The sequence below is a fragment of the Homo sapiens genome, chromosome 12, assembly GCF_000001405.40.
Source record: "Homo sapiens chromosome 12, GRCh38.p14 Primary Assembly".
Lineage (NCBI taxonomy): Eukaryota > Metazoa > Chordata > Mammalia > Primates > Hominidae > Homo > Homo sapiens.
The window spans coordinates 120163373-120186197 of record NC_000012.12 but is presented as its reverse complement, the minus strand read 5'-3'; the positions used below and the strand labels follow the sequence as shown (position 1 = coordinate 120186197).

Here is a 22825-nt window from a genome sequence, read left to right as displayed (position 1 = left end):
CCAGGTAATTTTTGTATTTTTAGGAGAGACGGGGTTTCACCGTGTTGGCCAGGCTGGTCTTGAACTCCTGACCTGACCTCAAGTTATCCTCCCACCTTGGCCTCCCAAAGTGCTGGGATTACAGGCGTGAGCCACTGCCCCCAGCCATATTGAGCACTCTTGTTCAACCAAGAGTTGAACTCTTTCTGCCCAGAGTTAGAGTGTATCTGTTTCACTCCAGAGTTAGGGTGTATCTGTTTCACTCTGACTGGCTGGCTTGGTTTCCCATTACTTGGTTTCTTCATTTAAAAATGGGCTTAATCCGGGTGCGATGGCTCACGCCTGTAATCCTAGCACTTTGGGAGGCTGAGGCAGGTGGATCACAAGGTCACAAGTTTGAGACCAGCATGGCCAACGTGGTGAAACCCTGTCTCTACTAAAAATACAAAAATTAACTGGGCGTGGTGGTGCGCACCTTTAGTCTCAGCTACTCATGTGGCTGAGGCAGGAGAATCACTTGAACCTGGGAGGCGGAGGTTGCGGTGAGCCGAGATCGCACTACTGCACTCCAGCCGGGGCGATAGAGTGAGACTCCGTCTGAAAAATAAAAGGCGGGGGGGCCTTAATAACACTGCCCACCTTACATGGATTAAATGAGTGAATGTGTATGAATGATCTAGAGCAGGGTCTGGCATCTTGTAAGCACTAAGAGCTAGGGTGTTATTAGTCCTCTCTTCTTCTTCATGTGTTCTGAATAGGTATTATGCCTTCTTAACCCTGCACTCTACATGTATCTCCCTCTCTTTCCATTTTTCCAGAGCCTACTAATCTGATAGGCCAAGCTTATGTGTCCTTCAGACTTTCAGAAACACTCCAGTTATAGGTGTTCTTCCCTTTTCTGGTCCCTCATAGTACTTCAGTGTTGCACTGTTTTTTAAACCGTTTATTAGAATGTATGTGAAGAAAGGTACGCCTCCTAATGGAACAGCTCACTGAATCATCACATGTTAAACACCAGTATAACCAGCACCCAGATCAAGAAGTAGAACCATTCCAGCACTCCTGAACCTCCTCTTGATGGCATGTGAGGTTTCGAGGCCACTTTTATTTTCTTAGTTTCGTTCATTTAGCAAATGTCTACCCAAAGCTTTTCTGTACCAGGCATTTTCCTAGAGTCCTGTTTTGTTGTTGCTTTTTCCTCTTGGGGAGGAAGGTCTTAAATATATGGGGAGTGTCCAGTGGGCTGAGATCATGTCTGGGCAGAATACCTGACTCCAGCGGCTTACCAAGTGATTTTTATTGACCGCTGTCTGTGTAATCTCTGGTTTCAGATCTTCCAGAGGGAGCAGTGAAGGGGCTCTGCAAATTGTTCTGCTTGACTCTGCATCGATATAGGTGAGTCCCAGCCAAAGGCCCCATATGTGGAGCACTTTGTACAGAGAGGGGATTTAGAGTAGTGGTTAGAGCCCAGATTAGAGCCAGACTGCCTGGTGCCAAATCTGGGCTATGTCACATCCTAGCCATTAGATCCTGGGCAAGTTACTTAACCTCTCTGTGCCTCAGTTTCCTTGTCTGCAGAATGGGGATGGTGCCATTCTCTATCTCATGGGTGGTTGTTAGTAAGCGTGAGGTGCCTGGAACAGTTGCCTGCTGTGCCATAGTGGTCAATGTGTTTATGCTGCCATTTAGTCATGTGTGTTAAATCGTCTGGCCTACTTTGAGACCCTTATAACTGCTCCATAAATGTAGGTGCTGCCCTTACACACTCAATGGCTTATTTGCCCTTATGAGATACTTTTAGAACTCTAGGAGGAGGTGAGTTTATCTAGTTATTTCCTAATCCCTTCTCTGTTATCCACTGGAATATGGTGTGATCAGTTTCTCCTGAGAAAGACCAGTGTATGGCCTGAGCAGCCTTGCCCCTGCCTCTGCCTGAGGTCTGCATGTTCACCCTTTCCTTTGCCTCTCCCCCTAGAGATGCAGCCTCCCGCAGGGCCTTGCAGGCAGCCATCCAGCAGTTGGCTGAGGCCCAGCCAGAAGCCACTGCTAAGAACCTTCTACACTCTCTGCAGTCTTCTGGTATAGGCTCCAAAGCAGGTGTTCCCAGGTAAGAGGTAAAAGTTGTGGCCCCCTGAGAATTGGTACAGTCCTGCTCAGGAGAAGCTGATGCAGTTGACTGTGCACCAGAGGGAGGAGCCAGGATAGCAAGCTTAGTGGAGAAAACCACTTTCCCGAGGAGCAGGGTTGGGAAACAGTGGAAGCAAGGCCATTTTGAGGGGAACCAGTTGCCCACCAGGCCCCTAATGGTGGAAGCCATCTGTTTGTTTTTATAGTTGTCAGTGCCAAGAGATGGGAGTTTGGCCACTGAAGCCTGGACTTCTTGTCCTGAATTGCCACAGATGGTTTGTGGGGAACTTGTTTCAAGTTCTGTTCCATGAGGTGAAGGGAGGGTCCTGCATTACCAGGCGGGGCCTTAGGGACAGTGTTCGTCCTCAAGGTGGAGGCTGCTGCTCTGAACTCATCCCCAACTCTGCTCTGCAGTAAGAGCAGTGGCTCTGCCGCCTTGCTGGCCTTGACCTGGACCTGCCTCCTGGTGCGCATTGTCTTTCCATCGAGAGCCAAGCGACAAGGAGACATCTGGAACAAACTGGTAGGTTCCCTGTGTCTCTGAAGTAGCAAGGGTCAGCTTTCTGCCAGGAGTTAGAGCATGTTTCAGCACCTTCTTGGTGCCAAGTGCTTTTCTGGGTGCTGGGTGACCAGACACTCTGAGTTGTCCCGAGGTGTGTGGCTTTGGTGGATGGCCATGAGTGCAGCATAATCACATTGTTTGGTGTATTAGACATTTTGGAGCTTCTCTGTCAGGCATGGTGCTAGGCACTAGAAATGCAGTGATGCACAACAGAAATGAGGCCCCTGATTTCATGGCATGTGTGGAAGCCGTGACAGGCCAGAGTTGGGAAGACAGCCAAAAATCAAGTAGACTAGAAAATATCATAGTGTAAATCCTCTTGGTGTTTTTCTGGCTGATCATTCCATTCCCTGTGTTTGATTTCAGTGTTGAACTGGTGAATGGAATGGATTTTTTGTCTTGGTTTTGGTTCTTAAATTCCCTCTTTCCATTCTCTACCTGCTCCTTCCATATTCTCTTCTTTTTCTTTCCCCATGTCTGCTCACCAGGTTGGGAGGTGAGCAGAGCAGACATGTGCCTGGGTAGGCTTAGTGTAGGTCATGAGGAGTGGTTTTTTAGTGTAGGTCATGAGGAGTAGTTTTTTTTTTTTTTTTTTGAGACGGAGTCTTGCTCTGTTGCTCAGGCTGGAGTGCAGTGGTGTTGGCTCACTGCAACCTCTGCCTCCTGGGTTCAAGCGTTTCTCTTGCCTCAGCCTCCCGAGTGGCTGGGATTACAGGTGCCTGCCACCACACCTGGCTAATTCTTTTGTATTTTTAGTGGAGACAGGGTTTTTCCATGGTGGCCAGGCTGGCCTTGAGCTCCTGACCTCAGATGATCCGCCTGCCTTGGCCTCCCAAAGTGTTGGGATTATAGGTGTGAGCCACTTTGCCAGGCCTTGGATCTGATTCTTGTCCATGAGACTTGGCTGAGTCACTTAACTTCTGAGCCCATTTCCTCATTTGCAAAGTGGGAAAGAAAATACTACTCACCCTGTCCACCTCAAAGAGTTGTCGCAAAGCCAGGTTTCGTTGAGGGTTGAGATGACTGTGGAAACTGGAGAGTCCCAGGCAGGTAGGTGCCAGTGATGACCGGCCTTAGGAAACACAAGTACCGCTCCATGAAGCAGCCTGCTGGTTAGATAGAGGGCTGCATCCCTGGGAGCTTATCCAGCGCACCTCTGGGGACAAACATGGAATGGCTGTCAGTATAATTGATTGATGATGGATTAGAATGCTGAAACCTTGAGGGTCAAGGATTACGTATTGTGAGCTGGGACTCTCTTGGATTTGCTTCAGGGAATGGGTGTCATTGTTACCAAAAGCCTCCTTGTAAGAAGGGGCAAGCTCATTGGCTTATCTGCACTGAGTGGTTTTTTTTGTTTTTTTTTTTTTGTTTTCTTTGAGAGACAGAGTGTAATTCTGTCACTCAGGTTGGAATGCAGTGGCGCAATCTCGGCTCACTGCAACCTCTGCCTCCCAGGCTCAAGCAATTCTCAACCCTCAGCTTCCTGAGTATAACTGGGACTATATGTGCATGCCACCACACCTGGCTAATTTTTGTATTTTTAGTAGAGATGGGGTTTCACCATGTTGGCCAGGCTAGTCTCAAACTCCTGACCTCAGGTGATCCGTCTGTCTCAGCCTCCCAAAGTGCAGGGATTACAGGTATGAGCCATTGTGCCCAGCCTACTTTTTTTTTTTTTTTTTTTTTTGAGACGGAGTTTTACTCTTGTTGCATAGGCTGGAGTGCAATGGCGCGATCTCGGCTCACCGCAACCTCTGCCTCCTGGATTCAAGCGATTCTCCTGCCTCAGCCTCCCAAGTGGCTGGGATTACAGGCATGTGCCACCATGCCCGACTAGTTTTGTATTTTTACTAGAGACGGGGTTTCTCTATGTTGGTCAGGCTGGTCTCGAACTCCTGACCTCAGGTGATCCGCCCGCCTCGGCCTCCCAAAGTGCTGGGATTACAGGCATGAGCCACTGCACCTGGTCGTGCCCAGCCTACTTTTAAAAAAATGTATTAAAAAATTTTTTTATACACACACCATGATTCTGCAGACTTCTTTTTTTTTTTTTTTTTTTTTGAGACAAAGATCTTGCTCTGTCACCCAGGCTGGAGCACAGTGGCATGATCTCAGCTCACTGCAGCCTTGACCTCCTGGGCTCAAGCGATCCTTCTGTCACAGCCTCCTGAGTAGCTGGGACTACAGGCATGCTGGTGTATGCCTGGCTGATTTTTGTATTTTTTTAGAGATGGGGTTTTCTTTTGTTGCCCGGGTTGGTCTCGAACTCCTGGGCTCAAGGGAACCACCTGCTGCGGTCTTCCAAAGTGCTGGGTTTATAGGTGTGAGTCACCACGCCCAGCCAGTAATCCTTTCTATACTATGCTATATATAGGGAGTCCTCTGTTGCTTACGGTTTTTTATTGTTACTAACAGTTCTGCAAAGAATAACCTTGTACATATGCCATTTTGTATACATGCAAATGGAATTTATCAGCATTGCTTTCCACAAGCATATCTGCTTGCTTGCTTTTTCTTTTTCTTTTTTTTTTTTTTGAGACGGAGTCTCGCTCTGTCGCCTAGGCTGGAGTGCAGTGAGGCGCAATCTCGGCTCAGTGCAAGCTCCGCCTCACGGGTTCACGCCATTCTCCTGCCTCAGCCTCCCGAGTAGCTGGGACTACAGGCGCCTGCCACCATGCCCAGCTAATTTTTTTTGTATTTTTAGTAGAGACAGGGTTTCACCGTGTTAGCCAGGATGGTCTCGATCTCCTGACCTCGTGATCCGCCCGCCTCAGCCTCCCAAAGTGCTGGGATTACAGGCGTGAGCCACCGCGCCCGGCCACAAGCATATCTGTTTTCTGAGGGTGGCAGTTCACACGACTCACTAGTGACCTTGGGCATTTATGGCACATAAAGTCTCTGAGATTTTTGTTTGTTTTTTTTTGAGACAGAGTCTTTCTCTGTCACCAGGCTGGAGTGCAGTGGCGCTATCTCGTCTCACTGCAAACTCCACCTCCTGGGTTCAAGCGATTTTCCTCCTGAGTAGCTGGGACTACAGGCGCCTGCCACCACACCCGGCTAATTTTTGTATTTTTAGTAGCGACAGGGTTTCACCATGTTGGCCAGGATGGTCTCGATCTCTTGACCTTGTGATCCGCCTGCCTCAGCCTCCCAAAGTGTTGGGATTACAGGCGTGAACCATTGCACCTGGCCTTTATTTTTTGAGATGGAGTTTCGCTCTCGTTGCCCAGGCTGGAGTACAAAGGCGTGATCTCGGCTCACCGCAACCTCTGCCTCCTGGGTTCAAGCGATTCTCCTGCGTTCAAGCAATTCTCCTGCCTCAGCCTCCCGAGTAGCTTGGTTACAGGCATGCGCCACCACACCCAGCTAATTTTGTATTTTTAGTAGAGATGAGGTTTCTCCATGTTGGTCAGACTGGTCTTGAACTCCCGACCTCAGGTGATCTGCCTGCCTCGGCCTCCCAAAGTGCTGGGATTACAGGTGTGAGCCACTAGGCCTGGCAGCCTCTGAGATTTTTTTAGTCAAGGACCTATTATGTATGTCAATCTGGGTTGGACGGTGTGAGCTCCATGCAGTTCGAATCCCCATATCAAGATGCACTTCTGTATTCACAGTGCTCAGCATAGAGCCTGCCATGCAGTGGTCAGTAAGTATTTGTGGAATTAATGAAGGACAGGTCAAGGCAGATAAGAAGTAAATGAAACAGGACCCTTAATTCTTTACCTGCATGGCACTTAAACCTCACTGAAATTGTATGTTCATTTGTGTATTTATTTGTTTAATATCTCTTTTTTCCTCTGAATTCTAAGGTACATGAAAGCAGGGACCGGCTGGGCGCAGTGGCTCACGCCTGTAATCCCAGCACTTTGGGAGGCCGAGGCGGGCGGATCATGAGGTCAGGAGATCGAGACCATCCTGGCTAACATGGTGAAACCCCGTCTCTACTAAAAATACAAAAAATTAGGTGGGCATGGTGGTGGACACCTGTAGTCCTAGCTACTCGGGAGGCTGAGGCAGGAGAATGGTGTGAACCCGTGAGGCGGAGCTTGCAGTGAGCTGAGATCGCACCACTGCACTCCAGCCTGGGCGACAGAGCGAGACTCTGTCTCAAAAAAAAAAAAAAAAAAAATTAGCTGGGCATGGTGGCACGCACCTGTAGTCCCAGCTACTTGGGAGGCTGAGGCGGGAGAATCACTTGAACCCGGGAGGTGGAGGTTGCAGTGAGCCGAGATTGTGCCACTGCACTCCAGCCTGGCGACAGAGCGAGACTCCGTCTTAAAAAAAAAAAGCAGGGACCATGTCTGTCTTCCTCCCCTTGTGCCTTCATTGTCTGATTCATAATAGGTGATCACCAAATATTTATTAAACGAACACTAGTGGGAACAGTGTCGTTAAAGGACAGAACTAAATGTGTGGGGTGGAGGGAAGAGGAGCTGGCTGGAGTTGAGTGGGAGAGGCTGAGTGGAGATGAAGCCAGGATTTGGAGGGTCTGATGGAGGTCTTTACAGGCTATGAGAGCCATGGGACCCTCAGTCTCATGTCCCACCTTGACCTGAGTCTTCCCTGGTCCTGGCAGGTGGAAGTGCAGTGCCTGCTCTTGCTGGAGGTGCTGGGTGGCTCCCACAAGCACGCCGTGGATGGTGCTGTGAAGAAACTCACGAAGCTGTGGAAAGAGGTGACAGGACTGCAGGGGCTGGTGGGCATTGCTTCTTCCATGCCACTCCCCCACTGCCATCTTAAACACCTGCCTGGCACTTTCCTCTTCAGAACCCCGGGCTGGTGGAACAGTACTTGTCAGCCATTCTCAGCCTAGAGCCCAACCAGAACTATGCTGGCATGCTGGGGCTGCTGGTGCAGTTCTGCACGAGTCACAAGGAGATGGACGTGGTCAGTCAGCACAAGGCAAGTGCCAAGGCAGAGTGACTGTGGGTTTGCTATGTTGGGGATGTTGGGAGCTCGCTGGAGGGAAGGAATGGGAACCTGCTTTGCCCTGGTGACCCTAGCTGTTGACCTTATCTGAAACTTGTTGGTTTTCTCATGTGAGACTCTGGCCTTTTGCCATGATACATGAACTTCTAGGAGCTGGAAAGTTTCCCTTCTGTTTCTGGCTTGGGTGATAGTTTGCTTGTTCATGCAGTCACTTATTCATCCCAATTTAGTGGCTGCCATGTTCTAGGCACTGTGCTCGGTGTTGGGGGTACACCAGCGAGTAAGGGAGCTATGACCCCTGCCCCCATGGAACTGAGTCTGAGAAACTGACATTAAACAGATAGTCTAGCTAATTATAACTAGTATGTGCTACAAAGGGAAAGTGTGAGAAGTCGTGAGACTCCACAACGGAAGGACCTGATTTAGGCTGTGGGTCAGAGAACACATCACTCTAAAGAAGGAACTTTGAGAGTGAAGAGGAATTAGCAAGGTCAAGAGGTGAGGCAGAGCATTTTGGGCAGAGGAAGCAGCCTGTGGGCAGGAACAGAGAGGAGGCGAGCGGGGTTGGAGTGGCAGGAATGGGTTAGAGTGAGACGCAGCCAGCTGAGTGGTGGGCAGGACCTTATAAGCCATACGAAGGACTTTGGACTTTATCCCGGGGGCCATGGAAAGCTGTGGAAGGGTTTTAAGTGGGGTTGCGTGATCAGTGGGACCTCTATGCTTAACACTGAAATTTGGGGCATTGATTTGTATTTTTTGGAGGCACTCTCACAAGAGGGACCCCTTAGGCCAGTGATGAGATACTTGAGAATGTCAGGATCTAACCAGAGCTTTGTGTTCTCTAGAGCGCCCTACTGGACTTTTACATGAAGAACATCCTGATGAGCAAAGTCAAGCCTCCGAAGTACCTGTTGGTGAGCGAGAGGTGGACGTTACTCACCTGGACAACTGATCCCATTTTCAATTCTGGGATGCTGAACTCTTTTTTGCTTCTTGGTCCGTTCCCATGAGGGCTAGGTGCCTTATTCCTTTTTCTTTGTAGGATAGCTGTGCCCCTCTGCTCCGATACCTGTCCCACTCAGAATTTAAGGATCTGATACTGCCCACCATACAGAAGTCCTTACTGAGGAGTCCAGAGAATGTTATTGAAAGTAGGTTGCTGTCAACCAGGATGGTGGGAGGGAGATGAGTTGCCTATATCTCTATTCTCGATATTTGGCAACAAGAAGTGTGTGTGGTAGGGGGGAGGGAAGGGGGATGTATTCATTGTTTACCTTGTTGGGACCTTGGGAGAGAGATTGGGGACCTTTTGCGATTATGTTGAAAGCCAGACGCATTGGCTCACACCTGTAATCCCAGCACTTTGGGAGGCGGCAGTGGGCAGATCACTTGAGCGCAGGAGCTCAACTCGGGAGGCTGATGTGGGAGGATAGCTTGAGCCCAGGAAGTGGAAGTTGCAGTGAGCCAAGATGGCGACACTGCACTCTATCCAGCCTGAGTGACAGAGTGAGACCCTATCTCAAAAAACAAGAGGCCAGGCGCGGTGGCTCATGCCTGTAATCCCGGCAGTTTGGGAGGCTGAGGCAGGTAGATCACCTGAGGTCAGGAGTTTGAAACCAGCCTGACCAACATGGTTAAACCCTGTCTCTAATAAAAATACGAAAAAAATTAGGCGTGGTGGCACATGCCTGTAGTCCTAGCTACTCAGGAGACTGAGGCAGGAAAATCACTTGAAACCGGGAGGTGGAGGTTGCAGTGAGGCAAGATCATGCCATTACACTCCAGCCTGGGCGACAGAGCCAGACTCTGTCCAAAAAAAAAGAAAGAGAAAAAGTCATGGGCTGTCTTGTCAGAAGAATGCACAAAAGTATATCCATTAATAATACTGCATATAATTTTAGGGGTTCAAGAACCCACTGGATCAGTTCATAGCTTTATGGAGGTGCTAGCCATTGTTCTGATTCCCAGAAAATATCAAGTGTTCACTTTCAGAGTTGAGTGGAAGAAAACAAAATATCCTCTTACCCCTCCACCTCCCCAAAAGAACTTTCTGGAGACGATTCAGGTTAAGAACCTCCTCTGTAGACATTCTGGACTTAGTATGGAGGTGGCACTTGAAATCATGGGATCTGAGGGTTGAGTCTCTGTCCCTGTGTATCTTAGTAAAATGTGTTGGTGGGATGTTGGAAAGGCAATTTTTGCTGATCGGGATGGGGAGGTATACAGCTTTTCAGCAGAGCTTTGGGACTACTCATGTAGCCTGTAGAGATGAAGGGCCAGACAGCAGGCCTAGTGGCATTTGCTGGGGAGTAGGGGAACAAAATTATCTGTTGAATTTATTGCTTAGACTGACATGGTCAGTGCTTTCTGTCCCCCTTAGCTATTTCTAGTCTGCTGGCATCAGTGACGCTTGACCTCAGCCAGTATGCCATGGACATCGTGAAAGGACTGGCTGGTGAGTATCCCAGCCCCTCTCCAGCCCATAAGTGTCACCTTGGGTTTGGTTGTACTTGTCCTAATTGTTGTAGCAGGGGTAGGGGACAGCTCAGGGTAGTAATAAGGCCCTAACCTAAACTACATTGGCATTGGCAGTTTCTTTCTTGAGATTATTTGAATGAGAGCAAACAGCTAATACTGAAGAGATGGGGGCATGGAAAAGACAAAGACGAAAGTCTGGATGCTCAGTTGTTGGCTGCTTCTGAGCAGTGGCTTTGTGTGTGCAGGTCACCTGAAATCCAACAGTCCCCGCCTGATGGATGAAGCTGTGCTGGCACTGCGGAACCTGGCACGCCAGTGCAGTGACTCTTCGGCCATGGAATCCCTGACCAAGCACCTATTTGCTATCCTCGGAGGTGAGCAAGCCTTCTTGGCCATGCGGGTGGTTGAGGCGTGGCCCCTGGTATTTCCCTCAACTGGGATCTGAAGGGGACTTGATGCTCCAAGTCTGCCTGTGGCAAGGCTGTGTGGCCAGGGGGACGTCACACTGGAATGTGAATGTGTGTGAATGAACAAAACCGTGCACGGGGTGGTGTGGATGGGGTGATCTCAGGTTTTTTGTTTTTAAGATACACATTTTTGTAGGCATAGCAGAAAAAACTAAAGGAAATACACCAGAAAAGAAATGTCTTTGAGTAGTGGAGACATGAGTGCCTTTTAAATGTTTTTCTTTATATTTTTTCTGTTTCTCAAGTTTTTTGTAGGAACATTCTTTTTTGAGTCAGAAAGCAAAAGGCTAGTAAAAGTTGCTTTAAACCCAGCTTCACAACACAAAGGCTACTTCTGGAATCAGAAACCGTATCGTGGCATCACACACGTGACTGCATTGTTCACTCTCTTGGGAAATGTGGCATATGTGAATGTGAATCTTTGCTGTCTCTCTTCTCAGGCTCGGAAGGAAAACTAACTGTTGTAGCCCAGAAGATGAGCGTCCTCTCAGGTATAGGATTTCTTTTTTTTTTTTTTTTTTTTTTTGAGAGAAAGTCTTGCTGTGTCATCTAGGATAGAGTGCAGTGGTGCCATCTCAGCTCACTGCAACCTCTGCCTCCCAGGTTCAAGCGATCCTCATGCCTCAGCCTCCTTAGTAGCTGGGATTACTGGTGCACACCACCACGCCTGCTAATTTTTTTGTATTTTTAGTAGAGATGGGGTTTCACCATATTGGCCAGGCTGGTCTTGAACTCCTGGCGTCAAGTGATCTGCCCGCCTCAGCCTCCCAAAGTGCTGGGATTACAGGCAGGTACAGGATTTCTCTGCCAGGAGTAGAGCTGTGATCTGGTAGTAGATAAGCTTTTTTTTTTTTTTTTTTTTTGAGATGGAGTCTCACTCTGTCGCCAGGCCGGAGCGCAGTGGCACAATCTTGGCTCACTGCAACCTCTGCCTCCCGGGTTCAAGCAATCCTCCTGCCTCAGCCTCTTGAGTAGCTGGGACTACAGGCACACACCACCACATCCAGCTAATTTTTTTGTATTTTTAGTAGAGACAGGGTTTCACCACGTTGGCCAGGATGGTCTCGATCTTGACCTCATGATGCACCTGCCTCAGCCTCCCAAAGTGCTGGGATTACAGGCGTGAGCCACTGCGCCTGGCCTAGTAGTAGATAAGCTTTAACATAATTCTTAGGTAAGGCGAAGCCTTCTTTGCATCTTGACTCCTGTGACGATCTTGGGTCCAGCCTGCCTCCCAGGACCCTGCTGCTTGCCTGCTTGACAAGAGGGACTTGTTCAGGTCTAGCAGGAGGCTTGGCTTCTATAGAAGGCAGGAGGTGTAGAGGGGGCATTGAAGGAAGATCAATAATGGCCAAAGGAGAGGTATGCCTGCTGGAGACACAGAAGAGGTCTGTGACCCAGAGTGCGGAGGTGGCAGCAGTGGGAAGACTTGCCTCTGTGGTTCTGTGCTGATAAGAGACTGAACAGGGAATCTGCCTTTTAGGGATTGGGAGCGTCAGTCATCACGTGGTGTCTGGACCTTCCAGTCAGGTCCTGAATGGGATCGTGGCTGAGCTGTTCATCCCGTTCCTTCAGCAGGAAGGTAATTCTGTGCAACATGGTGAGCATGCGTTCTGTACTCATCCTTGACCGTGGTTTTTCACAGTTGGAGCTTTCCTTCCATAAACCTCTCCTAAAGACACACCTCCCTCAGAGCAAGGCTCGTAGCTGTCTGAAATATCACTGCTTCCTCCCGCTTGTACTCTGGCTTGTTTTTTGCACTGCTTGCAATGATTTGACATGGTTATAAGACATTGGACTGACTGGACTTCTGCTTTTTGCCCTAGTTCATGAAGGGACCTTGGTACACGCTGTCTCAGTCCTGGCTCTCTGGTGTAACCGATTCACTATGGAAGTGCCCAAGAAGCTCACTGAATGGTTCAAAAAAGCTTTCAGCCTTAAAACCTCCACATCTGCGGTGAGGCATGCCTACCTGCAGTGCATGTTGGCCTCTTACCGGGGTAAGACAACTCCCAGGGCTAGTGTCCAGGTCTCCTTGCAGAGGTTACTGAGTCTTTAGGGTATTGTTAGTGTTCCCGCTTTCCCTGTTAGTTCAGCTTATTTTGCACTGTTTAATTCTTCCTGAAATAAATGAGAGCATTGGGCTTAGCCCAAAATCCGAATTCAGTCTTCACAACAAATTCTGGCTTCTCCCCCTTGTCAGACTTTCAAAGTACAAAGCTTTATTCAGAGAGGACCAGAACCAGAACTTGTCACTATAGTATCTGAAATCATGGAGAAATGACTCAGATAAGACTGGTTTAAGGGCTGGGTGCGGTGGCTCACACCTGTAATCCCAGCACTTTGGAAGGCCGAGGCGGGCAGATCACCTGAGGGCAGGAGTTCAAGACCAACATGGCGAAACCCTGTCTCTACTAAAAATACAAAAATTAGCTGGGCATGGTGGCGGGCACCTGTAATCTCAGCTACGTGGGAGGCTGAGGCAGGGAGAATTGAACCCGGTAGATGGAGGTTGCAGTGAGCCGAGATTGCGCCATTGTACTCCAGCCTGGGCAACAGAGCAAGACTCTGTCTTGGAAAAAAAAAAAAAAAAAAGACTGGTTTAAAAAATCCAACTTCGTGTAAACTTTACTCTGGACTTATTAAAAATGACCACCGCCCTTCCTTCAGTGTTGAGGAACCTACTGTCATTTGGGCAAGCAGAGCTGGGGGAAACTTTCAAATCTGTATAGGAGCTTGGTCTCCAAGCTATAAACCTCTATTACTGATTTCCATCTCAGAGATATGCTTGTATTTCTTTTTAAAAAGATTTAAACTTATGAACTGTATTTAAAGAAGCATCTAGGAGAGGCTGGGCACAGTGGCTCACGCCTACCAGCACTTTGGGAGGCCGAGGCGGTTGGATCACCTGAGGTCAGGAGTTCGTGACCAGCCTGGCCAACATGGTGTAACCTTGTCTCTACACAAATACAAAAATTAGCCAGGCATGATGACAGGTGCTTGTAATCCCAGCTACTCGGGAGGCTGAGGCAGGAGAATCGCTTGAGCCCAGGAGGCAGAGGTTGCAGTGAGCCGAGATCAAGCCATTGCACTCCTGCCTGGGTGACAGAGTGATACTCTGTCTCAAAAAAGAAAAAGAAACATCTAGGAGATTCCAGGGCCTCCTCTTGGGAGGGGACCCCCTTCTGTGTGAAATGTCTTGTCTGATGAACTTTGTACTCACATATTTCTTTTAATGATAAGGGAAGAAGAATCTGACCATAAGAGATTTTTGCACTGATTTGAAAGCAATATATCTTTTTCTGAAATATGTCTCCCAGCTCAGAATCATAGATCATCTTTGTGCAGTGGTTTGTGAGGTTTATTCAAACCACAGGTAGTGCTGATTGAAGTCATAGATTTTCCATGGGTAGAAATGTACGCTCAATACATTTTCAGCTGCCTTAGGGATATAGTGAACTCACATCCATGACTTAAAAACAGTCTATGAGGCAGGCGAGCTGGCTCACGCCTGTAATCCCAACACTTTGGGAGGCTGAGGTGGGAGGATTGCTTGAGCCCAGGAGTTTGAGACCAGCCTGGGCAACAAAGTGAGACCCCCATCTCTACAAAAAAATTAAAAAAATAGCTGGGCATGGTGGTACATGCCTGTGGTCCCAGCTACACAGGTGGCTGAGGCAGCGGGATTGCTTGAGCCCAGGAGTTCAAGATCAGGCAGGGAAACATAGCAAGACTCTGTCTCTACCAAAAATTATATAAAAAGTCTATGTACTATATATATCAGTTTGCATTATTGCTGCATTGAATGACCATCAGTTGTAGGTGGGACTTTGAATTGTAGATGGCAAAAACTTGGTTTTACCTAGTCTCTTCAGCTTGAGCTAGTTCTGCTCGTTGCATTTATTTTTAATTTATTTTTTAAAAAAGGAATGCAGAGTGCCAGAACTCAATGCTCATTGCTTTTAAAATAAACATAATATAAAATAAACCTTTTAAAAACAAAACGAAAATAAACCTCTGTAATAAAGATTTCTTGGATTCAAGTATAAAACATTATCTGGGAAACTGCTTTCATTGTGAAATGTTCTGATGTACCCATTTAGTAGCTATGGAAACATGGAACAACAAACCAAGGTGTTGGGGTAGGGGGGAAGAAAACATGTGCTTGAGCTATAGTTTTTTTTTTGAGATGGAGTTTCTCTCTGTCACCCAGGCTGTAGTGTAGTGGTGCGATCTCAGCTCACTGAAACCTCCGCCTCCTGGGTTTAAGCGATTCTCCAACCTCAGCCTCCTGAGTAGCTGGGATTACAGATGCCCACCACCATGCCTGGCTAATTTTTGTATTTTTTAATAGAGACAGGGTTTTGCCATGTTGGCCAGGCTGGTCTTGAACTCCTGACCTCGGGTGATCTGCTCGCCTCAGCCTCCCAGAGTGTTGGGATTATAGGCATGAGCCACCGTGCCCAGCCAAACTATAGTTTTAACTGGTTTCTCTTTTTTTTTTTTTTTTTGGAGATGGGGTCTCGTTCTGTCACCCAGGCTGGAGTGCAATGGCACAATCTCGGCTCACTGCAACCTCCGCCTCCTGGGTTCAAGCGATTCTCCTGCTGCAGCCTCCTGAGTAGCTGGGATTACAGGCGTGCACCACCCCACCCGGCTAAGACAGGGTTTCACCATATTGGTCAGGCTGGTCTGGAATTCCTGACCTCATGATCCCCCCCGCCTCAGCCTGCCAAAGTGCTGGGATTACAGGCATGAGCCACTGTGCTTGGCTTCCTTTTTTTTTTAAAAGAGTTTAGTTCAGAGGTCAGCAGATTTGGACCCAAATTTAGAATTTGGGTCCGAAGGTCATCTGTATGGGGGAAGAGTACCAGATGGGAATTGACAGGATTGAGGGTGGCTCTGACTTGCCTCAACTAGCCGTGTGACCTTGAGCAACACACCTAATGTCTCTGCTTATCCATCAATTGAATAACTGGACCACGCCCAGCTAATTTTGTATTTTTAATAGAGACGGGGTTTCTCCATGTTGGTCAGGCTGATCTCGAACTCCCAGCCTCAGGTGATCCACCCGCCTCGGCCTCCCAAAGTGCTGGGATTACAGACGTGAGCTACCGCACCTGGCCATAAGGATTATCTTTCTCCCTCTAATTTTGTGGCTGTAGAGTTTGATTTAAGTTTTGATTTCACTTCACTTCTTTTTGAGATATTTGAAAAATTAACTGAAGGGTTTTAGTCGTCTGGTTCACAGCTGGTTAGATAAATCCTTTCTCAGTCCTGTCATTTCCAAGGATCAGGATGTCCTTTAAGGTGCTTGTCCTCTCTCCACAGGTGACACGCTGTTGCAGGCCCTGGACTTACTGCCCTTGCTCATCCAGACAGTGGAGAAGGCAGCCTCCCAAAGCACTCAGGTTCCCACCATCACTGAAGGGGTTGCCGCAGCCTTGTTGCTCTTAAAGTTGTCAGTGGCTGACTCACAGGCTGGTATGAGTCCAGAGGTGTCTAGGATGGTAGAGACAGGGGCCTCTGACAAGAGTCCTTGGGAGGTGTGTCTTGATGTTCAGGATTAGCTTGGTCCTGACCACACTGGATCAGCCACAGGTTTGCTTGTCATCTGCAGGATGAACCTCATGGTTGCATGGGCAGTGGGAATGCAGTCAGGGGACTGTGTCACTGTCCTCCTTCATTCTGTTGCTCCAGTGCTACACAGGCTTGTAGATGATACCTAGATGGACCAGGGTTTAGTATTGGGACTGTTTGTTTCAGTTGGTTATACATTCATACAGTACAAAATTCAAAAGGATATAACATGAGAAGCTTCCCCTTAGCCCTGTCTTTTCCCGTAGCCGTTAAGTTTCCCTCTGTAAACGGTGTTACCAATTTTGCACTTTGGGAGGCCGAGGCAGGCGGATCACGAAGTCAAGATTTCGAGACCATTCTGGCCAACATGGTGAAACCCCGTCTTTACTAAAAGTACAAAAATTAGCTGGGTGTGGTGGCGCATGCCTGTAATCTCAGCTACTCGGGAGGCTGAGGCAGGAGAATCGCTTGAACCCAGGAGGCGTAGGTTGCAGTGAGCTGGGATTGCTCCACTGCACTCCAGCCTGGGTGGCACAGTGAGACTTTGTCTAAGAAAGAAAAAACAGTATTACCAATTTTATGTCCAGACATAGTGTGTTATGTAATTGAACATGCTGGGGAACATACGCTATATGCCATATTACTTATAATATATAATATATATACTATATATAATATATCTTCGAAATGATTCCAAATCAGTACATCAGAAAGAGCTTTCTCATTATTTTTTGTGGCTACATCGTATTTCAGGCTTTCTTTTCTTTTTTTTTTTTCTTTTTTTTTTTTTTTTTTTGAGACGGAGTTTCGCTCTGTCGCCCAGGCTGGAGTGCAGTGGCGCGATCTCGACTCACTGCAAGCTCCGCCTCCTGCCTCAGCCTTCCGAGTGGCTGGGACTACAGGCGCTACGCCGCCACGCGCGGCTAATTTTTTATATTTTTAGTAGAGACAGGGTTTCATCGTGTTAGCCAGGATGGTCTCAATCTCCTCACCTTGTGATCCACCCACCTCAGCCTCCCAATGTGCTGGGATTACAGGCGTGAGCCACTGCGCCCGGCCAGGCTTTCTTTATTTCATCTCCCAATCTCTGCACTGGGACACACCTGAACTTAACTCCTTTGGTTAGGAATGGAGCTCAGCTCTCCTCATGTAATATCGTGTGCTCACTGTGGCCATGCAAGGCACTGGGCTACCTGGGGGAATGCTAAGATGAACATGACCTTCTTCAGCAAATTTCAGGGTGCTTACTTCACAGTAGGCGCGAGGAAATACAGAAATATATCCGTAGCTTAAGACAAAATGCGGCATTAGAGCAGTTTTGAAGGAGAGATTGCTTTTAGTTGGGGGGGTGGGTATTGGGAAGGGCTTCATGGAGGAAGCATTTGAACTGGTACCCTGAAGCCTCTGAAGGATTTCATTATCCTGAAGGGATGGCCCAGTGTGAGTCCAAACAGCCCCAGTCAGGGAAGGGCAGGGAAAGCCAGAGTCTGTAAACCTCAGGTATTCCAGCTTGGCGCCTGGGGTGGATGGGAATTCCGGATGAGAAGCAGTTCACCTAGGATCCTGTAGGCAGCAGAGAGCCACCGAAGAGTTTCGTACAGGAGGTGATACCAGAAGGACTGAGGTCAGTTCCCCAAATGGAAGAGCACTGAGCCTCCTGCTGCAGAGGAGGGTTTGTCAGCAAAGCCCACCCCAGCAGCTTCAGGATGGAGTAGATCAGCTCTGGGGGATGTGGTGAGCTGCGTCGTGGGGTAACCTTTTGTTTCTTGCAGAGGCCAAACTGAGCAGTTTCTGGCAGTTGATTGTGGATGAGAAAAAGCAGGTTTTCACTTCTGAGAAATTCCTGGTCATGGCTTCAGAGGATGGTAAGTTACTCCATGCTTAGTTGAACTCGGGATTGAGGCAAAGTCTCTTTGGAAAATCTTCAGAGAGGACCCTTTCTTGACCAACCAGTCAGGTCTGCAAAAACCTGGGCCAGAGTGATCTGGCCAACAGCTTAGCTGTTGTGGGAATAAATTCATTCCTGTAGGGAACATAAGGTTAGGGAAATGGGACTTGGGAGATGTGTGGAGACAGAGCAGTAATGGCTGTGGAGCTACGACATGAGCTGTAATTATAGCTGATTGGGTAATTGGTGCTGTCTCGGAGGTTTTCTTGTGTTAAGGCAGCTGAGAAGCTCTTGTGGAGTCTGGCAGGCTCTACTCCCCCACCAAGAGACACAAAAACTACTGGTTTCTATCCTGGCAGAAAAGGAACAGTTGAATTTTAAATATGTGTTTAATATTCTACGTTGCCTTAGGAGTGTCTGCCACTAATTGGTGATTTGAAGAGTCGTTTGACTCATAAATCGCAACATCCCATTAATGAGCTACAACTGTTAGTCATTTCCTGGTTTTAGAAAAATTTTTAGCTAAATTTTGAAAAGGAAATAGACTAATGTAATTCAAAAATAGATACAAGAGGGTCTACATTGAAAATTATACCCCTGCTTTGATCTCTGGCTACCCAGTTCCTCGGCTATAGATAACCAATTTTATTAGCTTCTTCTGTAGCCTTGATATTTTATATATATGCAAGTAAATACCTGTATATGTTTGTTCTGTACCTTTTTTACACAAATGGTAGTGTGCCTGCCGTATGTACTGTGCTTTCTAGACCTGGAAATGAGTCCATATCAGTATATAATGAACTTCATCATTCTTTTTTTTTTTTTTTTTTTTGAGATGGAGTTTCGTTCTTATTGCTCAGGCTGGAGTGCAGTGGCATGATCTCAGCCCACCGCAACCTCTCCCCCTGGGTTCAAGCGGTTCTCTTGCCTCAGCCTCCTGAGTAGCTGGGATTACAGGCATGTGCCACTACCACCAGGCTAATTTTGTTTTTGTTTTTTTTTTTCTTAGTAGAGATGGGGTTTCTCCATGTTGGTCAGGCTGGTCTCGAACTCCCGACCTCAGGTGATCCACCTGCCTCGGCCTCCCAAAGTGCTGGGATTACAGGCATGAGCCACCATGCCCGGCCTCTTTTTATAACTCCATAGTAATTTGTTGTTGTTGTTGTTGTTGAGACAGGATCTCACTCTGTTGCCCAGGCTGGAGTGCAGTGACACAGTCATGGCTCACTGCAGCCTCGACCTCCCTGGTCTCAGGTGGTCCTCCCACCTCAGCTTCCTGAGTAGCTGGGACTACAGGTGCACACCACCACATCTGGCTAATTTTTGTATTTTTTTTTAAGAGACGGGGGTTTCACCATGTTGCCCAGGCTGACCTTGAACTCCTGGGCTTAAGCAATTCTCCTGCCTCAGCCTCCAAAAGTGTTGGTGTTACAGACATGAGCCATCGTGCCTGGCCTTAGTAATTTTTTTTTTTTTTTTTTGAGACAGAGTCTCGCTCTGTCGCCCAGGCTGGAGTGCAGTGGCGCGATCTCAGCTCACTGCAAGCTCCGCCTCCCGGGTTCACGCCATTCTCCTGCCTCAGCCTCCTGAGTAGCTGGGACTACAGGTGCATGCCGCCACGCCTGGCTAATTTTTTGTATTTTTAGAAGAGATGGGGTTTCACAGTGTTAGCCAGGCTGGTCTTGGTCTCCTGACCTCATGATCCGCCCACCTTGGCCTCCCAAAGTGCTGGGATTACATGCGTGAGCCACCGGATCAGGCATTTTTTTTTTTTTTTTTTTTTGAGACAGTCTCACTCTGTTGCCCAGGCTGGAGTGCAGTGGTGCAATCTCTGCTCATTGCAACCTCCACCTCCCGGGTTCAAGCAATTCTCCTGCCTCAGCCTCTTTGAGTAGCTGGGACTACAGGTGCACACCACCACACCTGGCTAATTTTTGTATTTTTAGTACAGACGGGGTTTTACTATGTTGGCCAGGCTGGTCTCGAACTCCTGACTTCAGGTGACCTGCCTGCTTTGGCCTCCCAGAGTGCTGGGATTACAGGCGTGAGCCACTGTGCCTGGCCGTAATTTTTAATTATTAAAAAAAAATAGGCTGGGGCCGGACACGGTGGCTCACGCCTGTAATCCCAGCACTTTGGGAGGCCGAGGCGGGCAGATCATGAGGTCGAGATCGAGACTATCCTGGCCAACATGGTGAAACCCTGTCTCTAATAAAAATACAAAAATAAGCTGGGCGTGGTAGCAGGTGCCTGTAATCCCAGCTACTCGGGAGGCTGAGGCAGGAGAATCTCTTGAACCCAAGAGGCGGAGGTTGCAGTAAGCCGAGATTGCACCATTGTATTCCAGCCTGGGTGACAGAGCAAGACTCCGTCTCAAAACAACAACAACAACAACGAAAACAAAATACATAGGCCTGGCATGGTGGCTCATGCCTGTAATCCTAGCACCTTGAGAGGCTGAAGTGGACTGATCACTTGAGGTCAGGAGTTCAGAATTATCCTGGCCAACATGGTGAAACCTCGTCTCTACTAAAAATAGAAAAAAAAAAATTAGCCAGGCTTGCTGGTGGGCTTCTGTAATCCCAGCTACTCAGGAGGCTGAGGCAGGAGAATTAGTTGAACCTGGGAGGCGGAGGGTGTAGTGAGCCAAGACTGCACCACTGCACTGTAGCCTGGGCAACATAGCGAGACTCTGTCTCAAAAAAAGTAAAAATAGGCTAGGTGCGGTGGCTCACGCCTGTAATCCTAGCACTTTGGGAGACCGAGGCAGGTGGATCACCTGTGGTCAGGAGTTCAAGTCCAACCTGGCCAACCTGGTGAAACCCCGTCTCTACTAAAAATACAAAATTTGGCCTGGTGCAGTGGCTCACGCCTGTAATCCCAACACTTAGGGAGGCTGAGGCAGGTGGATCACGAGGCCAGGAGATCGAGACCATCCTGGCTAACATGGTGAAACCCAGTCTCTACTAAAAAATATAAAAAAATTAGCGGGTGCCTGTCGTCCCAGCTACTCGAGAGGCCGAGGCAGGAGAATGGTGTGAACCTGGGAGGCGGAGCTTGCAGTAAGCCCTGAGATCGTGCCACTGCACTCCAGCCTGGGCGACAGAGCGTGACTGTCTCTCAAAAAAAAAAATATATATATATATATGTGTGTGTGTGTGTGTGTGTGTGTGTGTGTGTGTATATATGTGTATATATGTATATGTATATATATGTGTATATATGTGTATATGTGTGTATATTATATATAAAATAAATAAAAATAGTATATACTTTACTGATTCCAAAATACATGTGTGCATAAGCAAAAAAAAAAAAACAAGCTGTAATTTCACTTCGAGTGATAATCACATTTATATTTTGGTGTTAATTTTCAGTTCATTCCAGTTATTTCTGGGTATTGGTATGTATGTGTACACTTAACTATTTTAAAAACACTTCCATTCCTTTTCTTCCCTCCAAGCCCTGTGTACTGTGTTGCATCTGACAGAGAGACTTTTCCTTGACCACCCGCATAGACTCACTGGCAACAAAGTTCAGTACGTGAGGCTGGCTTACCTTTTCTTTTGGGCCAAATGAGGCAAAGGCTGGCAGGAACCCGAGAAAGGGTGTGTGGCAGGTGGAAGGGTTGGCTGTGGAAAGCCCTGCTCTTGGCCTTCCCCCAGACCTGTCTGTCCCTGTGCTTGCAGGCAGTACCACCGGGCTCTGGTGGCGGTGCTCCTGAGCCGCACCTGGCACGTCCGCAGGCAGGCTCAGCAGACAGTTCGGAAGCTGCTGTCCTCTCTTGGGGGCTTTAAGCTGGCGCACGGACTCTTGGAGGAGCTGAAGACTGTCCTCAGTTCTCACAAGGTGAGGGCATCTGGGCTCTAGAACTGGGGCTCTTGGATCCACTTAGCTGCCCCTGCTTACGATGTGGGGTTTTGGCTGGGCCACTCCCTGGGTGTTCTTTCTTAATCTGTGTGATGCCAGCATCTTCTGCTCTGCCGTCAAGCTCCAGTAACATCTTTCATAGGATTCCTTTTCCTTTTCAGAGACTTTTTTTCACATGTAGCTTAACCTTTTTTCCAGGGTTTTTGGGGTTTTTGTTTTGTTTTGTTTTGTTTTGCTCACTGCAACCTCTACTTCCCAAGCTTGAGCGATCCTTCCACCTCAGCCTCCCAAGTTGCTGGGACTATAGGTGCACACCACCTGCAGTGGCCGCTAATTTTTTGATTTTTGATTTTTTGTAGAGATGGGGTCTCGCCATGTCGCCCAGGCTGATCTCGAACTTCTAGGCTGAAGTGATCCTCCTACCTCGGCTTCCCAAAGTGTTGGGATTACAGGCACGAGCCACCGTGCCCTCCCCCTTTATCCTTGATTAATTGAATAACACTTTATGTTTTTAAAGCACTTTGTACTTTTTAAAGCATTTTCTACCCATTTTTTCCTTTTGATTTTTTTTTTAACAATGCGTTTCAAAGGCAAATAGGGCTTGTTATTCTTGTGTCATATGAATTGACCAGGGTTCTAGGAGTTCAAATGACTTGCACAGGGTCTCCCCCGACGGAGGGAGACCCTCAAAGACCTGGCTGTTATTTCTGTGCTCTTTGTGCCGTGTTCCACTGCTTCCCTCCCTCCCAAAGCCTGTTGAGGAATGTGGGCCAGTGACAGACTTGCCACCACAGGCTGGGTCTCCTGGACCAGTTCCTGGTGCCTTCTTTACCCCTGCAGGCTTTTTAGATGCAAAGCCACAGGTGCTTCCTTCTTCCAGGCACATCTCACAGCCTGTGGGTCCCATTGCAGGAAGCTGGGCATCCATTTCTACTCCAGCAA

The 22825-nt window shown here is 48.1% G+C and overlaps 1 protein-coding gene across 1 annotated transcript in view, besides 2 other annotated features; it reads left to right on the top strand.

Annotated features, from left to right (window-relative positions):
* The window catches only part of GCN1 (GCN1 activator of EIF2AK4), a 67514-nt gene that overhangs the window by 8518 nt on the left and 36171 nt on the right, over nt 1-22825 (top strand). Inside the window, exons 3-18 of the mRNA NM_006836.2 lie at nt 1311-1374; nt 1955-2086; nt 2521-2629; nt 7248-7346; nt 7439-7573; nt 8446-8514; nt 8643-8751; nt 9981-10055; nt 10324-10452; nt 10986-11036; nt 12029-12127; nt 12372-12545; nt 15877-16029; nt 17898-17990; nt 21477-21552; nt 21703-21862. Coding sequence (NP_006827.1) covers nt 1311-1374; nt 1955-2086; nt 2521-2629; nt 7248-7346; nt 7439-7573; nt 8446-8514; nt 8643-8751; nt 9981-10055; nt 10324-10452; nt 10986-11036; nt 12029-12127; nt 12372-12545; nt 15877-16029; nt 17898-17990; nt 21477-21552; nt 21703-21862 — 1727 coding nt within the window. The remainder of the gene's footprint in view (nt 1-1310; nt 1375-1954; nt 2087-2520; nt 2630-7247; nt 7347-7438; nt 7574-8445; nt 8515-8642; nt 8752-9980; nt 10056-10323; nt 10453-10985; nt 11037-12028; nt 12128-12371; nt 12546-15876; nt 16030-17897; nt 17991-21476; nt 21553-21702; nt 21863-22825) is intronic.
* Nucleotides 792-1991: an enhancer, noted in NCBI's record as "MED14-independent group 3 enhancer chr12:120622010-120623209 (GRCh37/hg19 assembly coordinates)". NCBI's record gives its function as "activates an origin of replication core promoter dependent on BRD2, BRD4, P300/CBP and CDK7 cofactors, and independent of MED14, by STARR-seq in HCT116 cells {active_cell/tissue: HCT116}" and the evidence as "EXISTENCE:reporter gene assay evidence [ECO:0000049][PMID:35650434]".
* Nucleotides 19217-19266: an enhancer, noted in NCBI's record as "active region_7132". NCBI's record gives its function as "activates an Ori minimal core promoter by ATAC-STARR-seq in GM12878 lymphoblastoid cells {active_cell/tissue: GM12878}" and the evidence as "EXISTENCE:reporter gene assay evidence [ECO:0000049][PMID:35858748]".